General features: G+C 50.1%; 1 long non-coding RNA gene across 1 annotated transcript in view, besides 1 other annotated feature; it reads right to left on the bottom strand.

Moving 5' to 3' along the window:
• Positions 1 to 14,544, bottom strand: part of PITX1-AS1 (PITX1 antisense RNA 1) — a 311,407-nt gene that overhangs the window by 157,283 nt on the left and 139,580 nt on the right. The window contains exon 3 of the long non-coding RNA NR_161235.1: positions 13,226 to 13,356. This is a non-coding gene — a long non-coding RNA (PITX1 antisense RNA 1). The remainder of the gene's footprint in view (positions 1 to 13,225; positions 13,357 to 14,544) is intronic.
• Positions 13,533 to 13,691: a silencer, noted in NCBI's record as "fragment chr5:134509397-134509555 (GRCh37/hg19 assembly coordinates)". NCBI's record gives its function as "represses an EF-1alpha promoter that drives an FKBP-Casp9 reporter gene in an ReSE screen in HepG2 liver carcinoma cells {active_cell/tissue: HepG2}" and the evidence as "EXISTENCE:reporter gene assay evidence [ECO:0000049][PMID:32094911]".

Raw genomic sequence — 14,544 nt, 5'->3', positions numbered from 1 at the left:
GATGTGCCGCTGTTAGCGGCGGTGAGGCCGGTGTTGAAAATATTCACTTACACACATTGTTCCCTCTTTTCTCCACGTCTCCTATTATGCTAAACTGAAACCCCAAGTATCTGTGCTTTGGGGGATAATTAGAAGAATCTTATCGGGCTTTTATAGCCCTTCCTAATGAGGCTATTTATTTGGCAAACATTAGCCAGCCGAAGGATTAGTATCACCTTGATATGGACCTTATTGAAGCTGCTACCCTCTTGCCTGCTCTGCACAAAAGCCTATCTTATCAGCAGAATAGGCTCAGTGCAGGCAAGTCATGGCTTCTGAAAATTCACCAGGGGTCAGCCTTCATTAGTCAGAAGTTCTGACCAGAAGCTGAGGCAAATTCAGGTTTGGCCACTTTGAGGCCAGTAAACCCAATCAATTCAGTGTGGTGGGTTGCTGGGAAGATGGGGAGGGGCAGGAGCCCAGCAATCATCTGGGTGAGTCTTGGGAGAAATATCACCAACATTCGGCACACAGAGTTCACCCCTGGGAGGGATCCAGGCCTCCAATTCCCAGGGACCTTCCTCCTTACAAGGAAATAAATACACTTCAGGGATCTCAGAGAGCAAAATGACATAGGCTTTCTCTACCTGTCCATGTCAGCCAGGAAAGCAAGTCAATGGGAACTGGTTACCTGTCCTAAAATACCTTGCTCCAAGCCAATGCCCTCTTATTCTGATGCTTTGACAGAATCCCAGAGGGAGCGTCTTAATTTGATTAAAAGTGATTTTGAAAGTAATTTAAAATGAATTCATAAATAAAATACTCTCACCTCTGGCAGGGAGGGCAAAGGGCTTTGCATGCCTGGACTGGGAAGTCCTGACACATTCTGGAACTCTAAGAAGAACAGACTAGAGAAATAAACCGTTCAGGCAAGCTTTTCAAAATCAGCCAACGTGGAATTCTTAGTCCAAGGCTTCTGACTTCATTTTGGGCAACTAGGCTGGAGGGGACAACCTTGGGGTGGGATGACAGGGGTTAGGTTTGCAAATGACCTAAGGTGAATAAATATTTGTAAAACACTTTGAGAGTTAACGAGCTACACAAGCACCTCGGCTATAGAAAAGGCCTCCATTCCGTCACTTAGGAAATGTTTCAGGGGATCTGATATTTGAGGCCTAAGTCAAAATGTGGCCTGAAGGAGCAGACCCCTAAGGGCAGGTGACCAGACTCTGGGTGGCAGAAGGCTCCATAAAGAACACTGTATTGTGAGTTTGCCTCGAGAAAGAAATTTTCAACTCCAAAATCTGCCATCACTGACTAGCCCTTTCTCTGTTGGTAAGCCTACTTGTGGGTTCTCTCTTGGAATGCCTGGCGACCACTCCCTTCTGGGACCCTAGACCCCTAGAATAACTGCTAGGGCAAGATGGGCATTCTGAAAGGCTGTCACCCCTCCTCCTGAGCTAGGGCTTGACAACGTTCAATCCTTAGAAGGGAGTGAGGACTGAAGCTGCTGGGTTGGCCTCCCTGCCTTTGTCTAAGACAGGCACTCTAACCACAAAAACAACTCTTGCAATTGGCACCGCTTCCATCACCATAGCAACTGGTGCTTCTAGAAAGGCTAAAGAATTGGTTTAAGATTCACAGCCAAATTTAAATTTCCTCAGCTCACTTTGCTTCTCCCTCATCCCCTACCCATCCTCTGGGACTTTCAAGAGCCTGGGGCTTTAGGCAGCTGGCAGGCTGCATAGCAACACCAGCCCACAGCTGCTGGGCTCTGCCTGGGAGAAGCGGCTGTGCACCCATGCCCAAATGCTGACTGATCACCCTGCTGAGACAGGTGAGGCCACTCAGCCTTCCGCTGGGTTTCTATAGCAACGGAATATTTGTTGGACCACTCATGGGGGAAGGGGAAGCAGGAAAGGTAGATTTTCATTCCTGTTATGGAAGCAGCTTGGGTCACAGTGAGCATTTAGGCCTCACTTGGCCAGAGAAGGCCAAGCTGGGCTCTGCTCACCGGGCAGCAGCCTTGAGATACGAGTCACTGACACCAGCAGGCTGGTGAGGAGAAAGGCATTTGGGGTCCTTATCCCCCACAACCACCACCCTCATTAGATGGTACTTAAACTAATATAATCTAAAGCCATGGATTCTGCCCCTCACATAACATGATACCCCATAGCCCCTCAAATACCTACTTTGCTTGAATGAAAAGGCACACTAGCCTCCAAACTGCCCCCAAAAGGAATAAGGATGTATTGGGGACACTCAGGCCTTGCCCCTGGACTGTAGAGGTGGGGGTTGGCAAGGACATAAAGCAGAGTTTAGTCTAAACCTTGGCCTCTTGCATACGTCTTTGGCTGCGTCAGTCTCCCCGGCTGGGTGAGATATCTCTTCCTGACTGTCTGGGTCAGTAATAATTTGCAATGAGGGCCTATTCCACAAACTAAGAGAGACTGGAGATGGGCTATTAGCTTCAGCTCCTTTCATGTGGAATTACGTCTACTGGCACTAATATGCCATCATTTGAAAGCCTTAACCCAAATGGACGGGCGTCTGCCCCAAGCCAGGGCCGCCTGGACCAAGGCAGCGGGCTCCATGTGCTAGCTATTACAGGGTTGTTTTGTCCCGTCCCCAGTCGGCATTTGTTGCTGCACACTGAGAAACTGCTGTCAGGAAATGTTCTTTTCTAAATTACATAATTAGGGTATTGGGGAGTGTAGTGAAGGCAGATTAGGGGCATCACTTGTTCTTACTGCAAGCAATGATTCAAAGCACATAAGTAAACACTTAAACTACGTGAATGGTTTAATATTGATTAAACAATGATCTCCAAGACTAAACTCTAAGCATGGTAGGTAGAAGGCTCTGGAAGGAGAAAAAACAAAGAGTGGGCTTAATGGTGTGCATTGATTTACAGAGAAGTGTGGACTTTGACCTGCCAGATCAAAATCAGGATTTGCAATGATTACCCAAAATACAGTCCTAGGGTCCCACCCCTGCAAGCTGATGGTGAGGCTGGGGGCTGAATGGTCAGGGTCAAGGATCAAGTTCTTCCCTCAGAAAGGCCAGCTTCTCATCCACACCCACTTCCAGAAATGGAAACTCAGGCAAAGTGTGGGCTCAAATTGCATTTCATTTATTGTTTCTAACTACGGGCCACAGACTTCAACTTGATTAGAAAATTGTGCTGACGCTTCCTGTGAAGCATATCCTGAGACTTCCAGAGGAACTTCAGAAGGGAATTTTTTGCACGTACCCACTTCTTCCAAATGGCATTCCCCCTGCTTGGCAGAGCCTGTGGCCACACATCTGCCCAGACGCCTGGGCAGGAGACTCTGCCAAGGAAGCACTGTTGACCAGCTTCTTGGGCTCCTGTTGGGAGAGGGAAGGTAGGTTCCCTCTAGGATGTGGCTGGAGGACACAGAACTGGTCCCCACTCATTCCTGAGACCACCACCTGTCTGGGGACAGGGTCCTTGCCAGGGGGAAGCCCAAAAGCCACCTCTGGCCTCCTGTGAATGCAGACTCGGCAGTCTCGACTCGCCTCCCTAACTCCTGGCTCGTGCTTTGCATTTTCTCTCTCCCTCATCTGAACTCAAGGCAAGACACTGCCAATTGAACCGGGAGACAGCTGCCAATTAATAATAATATCAATGATACAAATCATTGACAGTTTTGTAAAGCTTACCTTGTGCTAAGCATCGTAAGCTCATTCTTCATCATACTGAGTCATAGCCACCCTTTGTGGTAGGTATCAATATCCACCCCATTGTTTAGATGAATAACCTGAGGCTAAGGGCAACTTACCCCAGATCACACGGCAACTTCATACATTTTCTTTACTTTACAAGCACTCACATAGCTCTTATTTTGTGCCAGGACTGTTCTAAATGGTTTTAAACTATTAACTGGTTAAATCCTCAATGCAACCCTGAGTAATAGGTATTCTTCTTCTTCTTCTTTTTTTTTTTTTTTTTGAGACAGAGTCTTGCTCTGTCACCCAGACTGGAGTGCAATGGCGCGATCTTGGCTCACTGCAACCTCCGCCTCCCCAGTTCAAGCAATTTTCCTGCCCCAGCCTCCAGAGTAGCTGGGATTACCGGCACCCACCATCATGCCCAGCTAATTTCTGTATTTTTGTAGAGACGGGGTTTCACTATGTTGGCCAGGCTGGTCTCAAACTCCTGACCTCAGGTGATCCACCCACCTCAGCCTCCCAAACTGCTGGGATTACAGTTGTGAGCCACTGCGCCCAGCCTTCTTATTTTAAAACGAGCAAACAGACACAGAGAAGTTACTTGTCCTGGGTCGAACAGCCAGTAAGCGACTAAGCCAAGATTCCAACATGCGCAGTCTGACTCCAAAACCCAAGTTCTTAGCCTCTCCATGGGGCTAACAGCAGTCTCTAACAAAAGAAGGAAAAGGAAGTGCCGCTGTGAGAGGGAACAGCCGTGGCACTGTGCTGATGTGAAAAGCGCACAGGTCCACAGCCCAGAGGCCCGGGCCCCAGCACCAGCTCTGCTGTGTGGTGACTGGGAGGCCTCACCACCTGGATGCTAAGGTGACTGGTGGGGACCAGGGACCCTCCAAGGTCTCAAAGTCAGCCTCTAGAAGATTCATGGGGGGTAGGTAATTCTGCCAAGAGCCCTAGAAGACTGGGGGTGCCCTGCTCTGCTCCTCCCCAGCCCTACTCCCACCCTTCCTCACCTTCCCCCTTGAGCCAGGCCTGGGGGGATTCTCTACTGGGGAATTCATATACATCCCCTTCCTCTGCATGAATGCTCAGGCTCCTAACTCCACACACAACCAATTCAAATGACGTTCCCATTTCTGCCAGTCCCCTGCAAAACCAATGGGGGCAGAATACAGAAGGGCACGCAAAATGAAAATCCTGCAACGGTATATTCCTTCTCATGTATATGTTTAAAATATGTCCAAAAAATAAAAATATCCCCCAACCCACCCACATAAACACACTGCCATAAACAGCTGAAGTGCTCCGTGTGGAAAATCCATCAGGGTAACTATGGACAAAGCCATTCAGGCTCAGCCCTAGTCTAGCCTAGGGCCTCAGAGTCCTCAGCCTCCCTTTGCTCAGGGCTGGGCCAGCAGCTGGCTGTGGGACCACGTGGAGGCTTCCTTGCTCTCCATGTTTCCTATGGCTCAATGGCTCTGTCCACTGTCTCCCAGCCTTGAACAACCTCCAAACATCTGGGCTAGGCCATGCTCACTAAATTCTATTCGTAACCTCCAAAATCAACACTTATGATTGCTTTCATGGTCATTTGCAGACATGCATAGAGTACTGAAACACCTGAGTCACCTGATGTACAAGTGTCCAGCTGAAGTTAAACCCTCTGCCTTCTTGTCTCAGCTCATACTGTAAACAAGTGTCCTTTCTTTCTTTTTTTTTTCTTTTTTTTTTTTTTAAGATGGAGTTTGCTTTTGTTGCCCAGGCTGGAGTGCAGTGGTACAATCTCGGCTCACTGCAACCCCCGCCTCCCAGGTTCAAGGGATTCTGTTGCCTCAGCCCCTGAGAAGCTGAGATTACAGGTGTTCACCACCAGGGCCAGCTAATTTTTACTATTTTTAGTAGAGATGGTTTTTCACCATGTTTGGTCAGGCTGATCTCAAACTCCTGATCTCAAATGATCCTCCTGCCTTGGCCTCCCAAAGTGCTGGGATTACAGGCATGAGCCGCCACACCCAGACAACAAGTATCCTTTCTGCTGTGTGTAGGGTTATGTGTTTTTTCTTTTTTCTTATATTATTGTTCTTTTTGTTGGTGGTTTTGCTGTTTAAAATAGCCCCCAAGAATACTTCTGTGAAATGTTCCTAAGAGCAAGAAGGCCATGATGTACTTTATAGAGAAAATAGTTGTGTTAGAGCAGGGGCTTCCAATCTTTTGGCCTCCCTGGGCCACATTGGAAGAAGAATTGTCTTGGGCCACACGTAAAGTACACTAACACTAACGATAGCTAATGAGCTAAAAAAAAATCGTCAAAAAAAATCTCATAATGTTTTTAAAAAGTTTATGAATTTGTGTTGGGCCACATTCAAAGCTGTCCTGGGCCTCATGCAGCCTGCAGGCCACGGGTTGGACAAGCTGTGTTAGATGATAAGCATGAGTTACAACGCTACTGGCCATGAAGTCGATGTTTCTGAATCATCAACATATATTAAATAAGGTGCTTTAAACAGTAACACACATAAAACAAGGTTATGTATTGATCAGTTGACAAAAATGTGACCAGAAGCTCACAGGAACCTAACTTTGTATTGTCCCTAGGAGCAGTGGTTTAGTATTTGCTAATTCGGTGTTGGTGGGGACTTTATAGAACATAACTAGTGCAAGTAATGAGAATCGACCGGAGTTTCGGTCCTTGGGAAGATGGGGATGCAGGAGACAAAGTGCCAATAGCTAATGACAACTACTATTCGTGGAGCACTCTCTTCCTGGGCCAGGCCCCTGTTACCTCACAGAACACTGTCTTTTTCTTTAGTCCATTTATGCCTAGTGTTCCATTATTGGAACACTGAGCATGTGGGAGTTATTTATATCCTACTGCTCAAGGTCACCACCAAGTTCTGATTGCAAAAATTCAAAAAATTGCAACCTCAGGCATAAATGGGTTAATAATCATGTCTAACATAATAATAATGGCTGCTAACACCAAGTGAACACTCACTGTGAGCCAGGCACATACCAAACGCTTCATATTGATCACACAGATCTCATCGAATCCTCCCGTACCTGTGAAACCTGGGGGGTTTTAGGCCTCATGCCTGCTGTTCACAGCAAGTGTTCAGCACACTCACCTGTCCCGGGTTTTGGGTTTCTCATGTGGCAGGCTGTGCCTGGCTGGGAAAAGCCATTGCTTCAAGGATTTTTAGAACATTTTCCAGCTCTGGAGTGCACAGTGGAGGATGAAGGAACCAGGGACTCAGCCTGCTTGACAGTGGCTAAGAGAGCAGGCAGCCAGCTCATCCCCAGGATGTGCCACAAGCCTAGTACCACTGAGTCCCAGCCAACCGCAGGGCTGAGCTGCCCCTCTGCTGACCGCAGCAGGTGCCATACTGACATCCCTCCTTGTGACTTAGCTACCAGCAACTTGCTCTCACCCACCTTGGTGTGGAGGGAGAGCCCAGTTCCCAGCCTCAGCTTCACCCCAGCTAAGCTGCAAAAGCCTGAGCATGGTAGCACTTGGCACATCAGTGGCCCTAGGCCACAGTCACCTTCCCCAGGTGACGCTAAGCAAGCAACTCACTTCTCCTACCTGTGGTTTTTCCTGCCTACAAAGTGGGAATAATTACACTCCCGCTTCCAAGTTTTCACATCTACTATCTCACAATTTAGAAGAGAAACAGGCAGGGCCAGTTAAAAAAAAGAAAACACAAAGACAGTGATTGTTATTATTGCTGATAACATTAGATGAATAAAGTAATATTCCCTGGACACTAAAGAGAAACAAAGTGGCAGCATTAATTATCTCATTTTTGACATTTTTCATTATGGCAGGATAGGTGGGGCTCCTCAAAAGCCAAATGCTCAGAATATTCCTGCCATTGAGCTGTCCATGGGAAGAGGTGTATAAGGCGTCTACTGACCACCAGGGGAACTAATCCCCTCTAGGTTGCTGCCAGTCCTACCCACAGCCAGGAAGAGTGAGAAAGGCTCAGAAACAGCCCCCAACAGGTGAGGAGAGGGAGCAAAAGCCCTTCTCAAAAGCAGGGCCCCAGAGAAGATATAAACAGGGCTGAGCGGCAGGATGGGCTGGGACAATTCCCTCCTCCTGCTGCGAGGTAGAAGCTGTGACCCTGCAGTCCCAACAGCCCCACCTGCTTCTTGGCTGCCCCTGCCGGAAACACGCAGGGCCCAAGCCTGGACAGCAGGAGCCCAGGTAAGCGGCCCCAGGTGCAGAAGTGGCCTTGGCCACAGGAAGTCCTGTCTCCCGCCTACGGCTAATTGCCACCACTGCAGAGGAGCCGAGCTAATTATACAAAAGTATGTGGCTCCCACATTCCCGGGCCACCACACACTTGCACACACCTCACAGGAGACCAGCCTGACTCCGGCATCCACCCCAGCCCCCTCCTGGCTCCTCTGAGCCTCCAGAGATGTCCCCTCTCCTGCAGCCTTCTCTATAAGCTCTTCAGGTAAGCCCCAGCAGCAGTTCCCTCCACTCTCCCTTTGCCTGCCTCTGAGGCACTTAACCCTCATCTTTACCTAATGTAAATATTTAATCCTGTACATTTAGGATCTGCCTGTCACCTGCCTCCAGTCTGTTCTCTCATCATCCAAATGGTCTTCCTGCCAGACCCGGGGCAGACCCAGGACTCCAAAGGGCTCTCTCTCCCCAGAGAGCTCCCCGACACAGCCCGGCACCTAGCTGACAGTAACCATGCATGGGGGGTGACAAATGTTCGAACCAGTTGTGCAACCTCAGTCAACGTGTGCGCTCTGAGCTTTAATTTTCTTATTTGTAAAATGAAGCTACCACCACCTGCCTCACAGAGTTTCTGGGGAATTGAAACCTAGCACGGTGCCTGACATATAGTAGGTAGCTCATAAATGCTTACTGAATTCCCAGCAAGCATTCGTGATGGGCTGGGGCCTTGCGCATCTAAAACAGAACTCATCCACCCATGTGCAAGTATCCTTCCCTCCCCGCACCCACTCTAACGAGAACTCGATGCCAGCCCATCCCTGCCTCCGTGATGCACTCAAGAGCCTGGTAGGCAGGACAGGGGAGGATGGAGCTGCAGAAGGGCTGAGTTGAGAGACAGGGTCCACCCACATAATCAAGTCCTGGAAAGGGGGCAGGAGAAGAGAAAAGGAAAAGCTGGATGTGGGGAGAGACCCTAAGGGCCGTGGGTGGCCAAGACCTGCACTGGCCAGGGCTCAAGAGTGCTGCTGGGGCACAGGACAGGGATGCCCAACCTTCAGCCTTCTTTCAGAAGACAATAAAGGGTCAGCTTTCTAATTACTTCTGGCTGCCTGAGTGTGCAGAGACTGGGCCATGAGGGGCCCTGGGGCTAGGAGGATGACACACCCTTGTCTTTGTCCATGCTCTCAACACTCCTGTAAGGCAGATTTTTGTCTCCATTAAACAGATGAGAAAACTGAGGTTCAGAAAGATTAAATGACTTGCCTGAGGTTACACAGACAGTCAGAGCCAGAGCCAGGCCTCCCTCCAGATCTGCTGTCTTCTGAGCCTGTGCTGCTAACCATGTCATGCTCAGAAAGTGGCATCACCGCGCGGCATCACTGCTTTACTCTAGAACATGGGGGTGAAGACGTGCCCACTGAGTGACTCCTGCCACTTCTTGAGGAAATGTGGTCTCACCTCAGCAAATGGGGTCCTGAGCCCCTACAGAGTGTCGGGGTGCCAGGCCCCATGGGGACACACACAGGAAGGATAGGCCGGCTGAAGGAGCCCCTCATCCTGCAGTCCTTTGCCAGCAGAACCAGCACCAACACAAGGGAGTGTGTGGGGTAGTGACAACCACCAGCACCAAGGGTGGTGCCCTGAGCCAGGAGAGCTGCACTCGGCCTAAGAGAGCTAGGAAAGCTAGGGAGGCTTCTCAGAGGTGGTGATCTATGGCCACCTGGGAGGATGAGCAGGACTTAAATAAAAGAGACAGGGACCTGGGTAGAGGAAGTGAGATAAGCACAGGTGTGGAGGTGTGGGGGCACCAGTGTCCCCTGGGGAGGAGGGCAGACAGCGGGACCCGTGGATGTAGTGGGTGTGCAGGCTGAGATGTGGGACATGAGGCTGACTCCACAGGGCCTGTGTGCCTGGGTGAGAAGTCGGGACATCTTTCCAGAGGCACCAGAGAGGGATCTGGTGGTGGTGAGAGAAGCAGCACTGGGCAGGGACCTGCCTTCCTCCCCCAAGATGAAGTCTCCCCAGATAGCAAGGGTGCCTTGGGCTCTCTCTCACCTGAGGCTCTCAGGCCCTACTGGAGGAGGAAGGTGCAGAACATGGAGCTTCTGAACCAAGAGAAATGGTCTTCCTAGCCTTCTGAGGGATGCATTCCAAAGCGAATCGAGATTGTATGTTTCAGAGTAAAGAGAAGGGTGGTTAGGCTCCCCTGACCACCACCTCACCACCTCCCATGGACCCTGCCCTACCTGCCATGCCTGGCCCATGGAGAGAAGCTCCATGATGCCACTGGCAGCACCCACAGGTGGGCCAACACTGCAGCTTCCTCAACGCTGCCCTGCCTGGTGCCCTGGGGGGCTCCCTCCTAGGCGGTCCACCTCCTGTGCACCCTCACAGAGCTGGCTTTCCCTGAGAAGTGTACCAGGTCTGCCAGAGGCCACTCGTCAGCCTGCTGCTGACATCCAGGCCTTTCCCTATGCTCTCCGCTCTGCCGTGACCACATGCCCTTTCCCCCATACCCTCCATTCCCTGCTTCTTCAGGTCTCAAGCCAGATGTGCCTTCCTCCCAGAAGCCTTCCCCAAGCGGCCCTCCTCCGCATGCCCACAGCCTCAGTGCAGTCATCAGTCACCAATGCCTGTCCCAGTCAGTCATCCCCATGGGACTGTGACCACCTGAGGGCAGAGGCTGGTGTGTCCTCTTCACCTAGGCTATATCCCCAGTTCCTGGGCCAGGCTCTGGCCCATAGTTACTGCTTGATAAGGACCACCCGAAAGAAGGATTCCCACAGCCCAAACTTTCTCAGACACCATTCCCTAACCTCTGGACTGAAGGACTCCATCCCATCGCCCAACTAGACTGTTGTCCCTCTAGGTACCAGTCCCACCATCCCCTCGGCTTGGCACTTGCTCAAGCCTCTGAGAAGAACCCATTGTGTGCCAGCCCATCCCTGCCTCCATGATGCACTCCAGAGCCCGGTAGGCAGGACAGGGGAAGGATGGAGCTGGAGAAGGGCTGGGTTGAGAGGCTGGCACTCACTGGAACCTCTAAATGGACTTCCCCGCTCTAGCATGCACCCCACCCAGACAGCACTGGCTCCCTGTCCCTGAGGAAGAAGCCAGCAGGGACTGGAGGTCCAGAGCTCTCCCACCCTGCTGCCTGGCTCTTCTCACCACCAGCCCAAGGCCTTTCCTTTGCCTCCCAGGTCACTGGGCCCAGCGCAGGCAGCTGGCTCCCTCACGCCCTATGATGCCTTTGGCTCAGCCAGGCCATGGCTCCCAGGCCCTCCTCAGGCAGATACACTTGGTCCCTGTACCTCCCTGGGCCTCAATCCCTCATATGTAAAATGGATTCAGCACCTGAGAGATCTGGCAGGAACCTGAGGGGCTTTTTGACACATTGGTCCCCTCCCCTGTTCCTTTAGAAACTTAGGGCAGGCCCAGGGAACATATGCAGAAGGGGAAAGGAATTGTTTTCCTCTGACTTAGCTCAGTACTAACTTTCTAGAAGGCTATTTAGCTAAAAGTATCAGAAGCTTAAAAAACACAGACACCTGGGCCAGTCATGGTGGCTCACGCCTGTAATCCCAGCACTTTGGGAGGCCGAGGTGGGAGGATCACAAGGTCAGGAGTTTGAGACCAGCCTGGACAATATGGTGAAACCCTGTCTCTACTAAAAATACAAAAAAATTAGCTGGGCATGGCAACGCACACCTGTAATCCCAGCTACTCGGGAGGTTGAGGCATGAGAATCATTTGAACCCAGGAGGCAGAGGTTGCAGTGAGCCAAGATCGCGCCACTGCACTCCAGCCTGGACGATAGAGCAAGACTCTGTCTCAAAAAAGAAAAAAAAAAAAAACAAAACATAAAATAAAACAAAACAAAAAACACAGACACCCTTTAACCCCAAAATTCAACTTCCAAACTTTTCTCTTAGAGAAAAGTACACCAAAATGCTGGAACAAAGATGTTAGTTACAATGTAGTTGTGAGGGCTAACACTCAGAAATAACCTATATATCCAAATACAGGAGTGTGGTTTTGAAAACTATAGTATATTCATACCACAGGCCAACATTCCTACCATGCAACCATCACAAATGATGGTGTCAGGGTAAAAGGCCACCATGATATATTATTAAGCAAAGAGAACAAGTTTAAAAAAATGGATCATACTATTTTGTAAGAAAAAGTAACACATATATTTATAGGGGAAAAAACTTCAAAATGTTGACAGTGGTTACCTCTACTTTTCCCGGTTTTTCTAATATTAATATATATTACTTGTGCAGAATAACACTTTTAAAACAATTGTTCATTGATAAAGCCACTGGTTAGATGTCAAAATAGGAAAACCCTAATAATAATCCCAGCCCCACCCCGCCCCCACCTCGCAACATACATACACAGGAGTTGGCACTGAGGCATATACCTAGGTGTATGCATACACTTCCTCTCACCCACCCAGCCAAGCCAACTCACCAGCCATCGGCCCAAGGCTTATTTTAATCCTCAACTGAAATTATTACAACTAAGCAATACAATCCACTGCACTCCAGAACAGATTCCAAGTAGCCACCAGCCTATGTCCTCTACAGGCAGTACCCAGCAACTCCCTGCAGGAGGTGGTAGTAAGACAGCTGCGCTCTGGAGAATGACCACCGACCTCAAGCTCCCAGGGAGCACCAGAGACACGCAATGGTAGGAATTAGCCATGGCTGTGAACCAGCCAGCCAGCAACATCATCGACCTATCAATTGCAGTGATAATTCTCTTAGGAGCTGATGCCTTCATCCATCACACTGAGGTCCCATAAGCACCCCTTTGGGTCTTCCTCATTCTCAGGGTATGGGGATGGGGCATAGGTGGGTGTTGGCCCAGACTGCTGGTCCAGCCAAGCCCATAAACAAGGCAGGAAAAGGACGGTGTGACATAATGCCAACTCCATGCCAGGCATGATGTTTGGCACCAGACACACTAACAGGCCTCAGAGCAGTTTGGCAAGGAAGATGTGGGACTCCAGGATCCTCATCTGTAAACTGGGCATGACTTTCCCAAGGTCACACAACTAAAAGGAGGCAGAGCTAAGATTTGAACTCTGATCCTCCTGCCTCTTCCATGAGCCCATACTTCCAACATGACAGGGCTGACTCAGTTCCCTGGTCTCATGACCCACACCCCCAGGACCTTCAGGAAGTCCACGGCACCGGAATCAAAGCTGGGCGAAGCACATAAACACGGGGCCGATTCCTCTCCCCAACCCCTCCCTTGCTCTTAACACAGAAGAGGCTGGGGCTGCCCCTCTGCCATCGTGTGCTGAAGAATATAACATGAACCAGAAGAAAATATCAAGAAAGCACTCACCTGGCCCGGAGGCTGCGGGTCACCTGGTTCCATCACAGCACAGAGGCCTTGTCTGAACTATCCAGAGGCAGCTTGGGGGCTGCTGTAGAGGCCTTGGCTGATGTTATTAGGGTGGACCTGAGCAGGTGGTGCTGGGGGAGACAGGAGAGAGAAAAGAGGGACTCACTGTACAGGTCTCCACTGCCGAAAGAACAAAGCAAAATATTTTCATTCATGAGTTCATCCAGCCTAAACACGCACCTAATCCCTAGGAACTGACAGTGCAAAACAGCTCCCAGGAAGAAGAGACACAATGCTCAGTTCAAAGGAGGAAGGGCTGGGCAATCACTTATCACCTGGTGACCATCTGTGGAGTCAAGGAGCTGCCTGGGCTTAACAAATCCAGGCCAGCCAGAGAGGCCAGCTGCTTAAATGACAAGGGCCCAGAGTGTCACCTCTTGGTCTGACCACCATCCTGCCCCTGTGACTGGACCCCAGGGCAGAGGGAAGGGGCGCTTTCTGCTTGGTTGCTGGGTGCAGCTTCACTGGAAAGCACAAAACGAACTGTGAATTTTCTCTGGGTACAAATGATATGCTCAGTTTGGGTGCTTTAGCTTCATAAAATTTGGCACCACTAGGAAGAGAAGTATGCTAGGAAGAGAAGGGCAGGGCTGCAAAAATCTAAAGGATTCAGACATTGTTCCTGCTGAGTTCGAGGGGAGAGGCCCCCCTCCCCCAACCAGGAAAATGCCTGCCTGGTACCACCTTGATGCACAATTAGTTTCTCAAGGGGCTGCCTTGCTAGACCAGATATTTTTCTTGAAAATATCCATCCAAATATGAGCCATGGGGATTTCTTTTTTTTCTTTCTTTTCTTTTGGTCTACTAGAAGTCCCTAAGGGCAGTCATGTCTCCCAGAAGAGATTACAAATTTTGGATTGTGTAAACACTCTCTGCCCAGAAAGCACCTATGGAGATCTTCGTTATTCCAGCCAACCTGCCTTCAAAAGGTAGAGAACCTGGCCAGCTCTGCCAGAAAAGCCTCCAGAACCAGCCTTTGAGGCTAGGAGTGCCCCAAGCCTGCTTCCTTGAACCCTCAGCCAGCCTTGCATGGGGAGGCAGGGATGTTTGATCATTGTCTCTGCCAGGCTGGTGCTGAACACAGCTTTGCAGAGCCCCTGCCTCCCTCTTTTCCCCCTTCTCCATGGTCTCCAAGGGCATCCAAAGACCCTTTCTGGCAGAGCCCAGGAGTGTGCTTGAGCAGAATGTACATCTTTGCCCATGTGTGTGGCCCCCTCACAGCTGCTGCTCTGCACTTTCTCCTCGGCCAACAGCTTCCC

Source organism: Homo sapiens, chromosome 5 (assembly GCF_000001405.40).
Source record: "Homo sapiens chromosome 5, GRCh38.p14 Primary Assembly".
NCBI lineage: Eukaryota > Metazoa > Chordata > Mammalia > Primates > Hominidae > Homo > Homo sapiens.
This window is presented reverse-complemented; position numbering and strand designations above follow the sequence as displayed.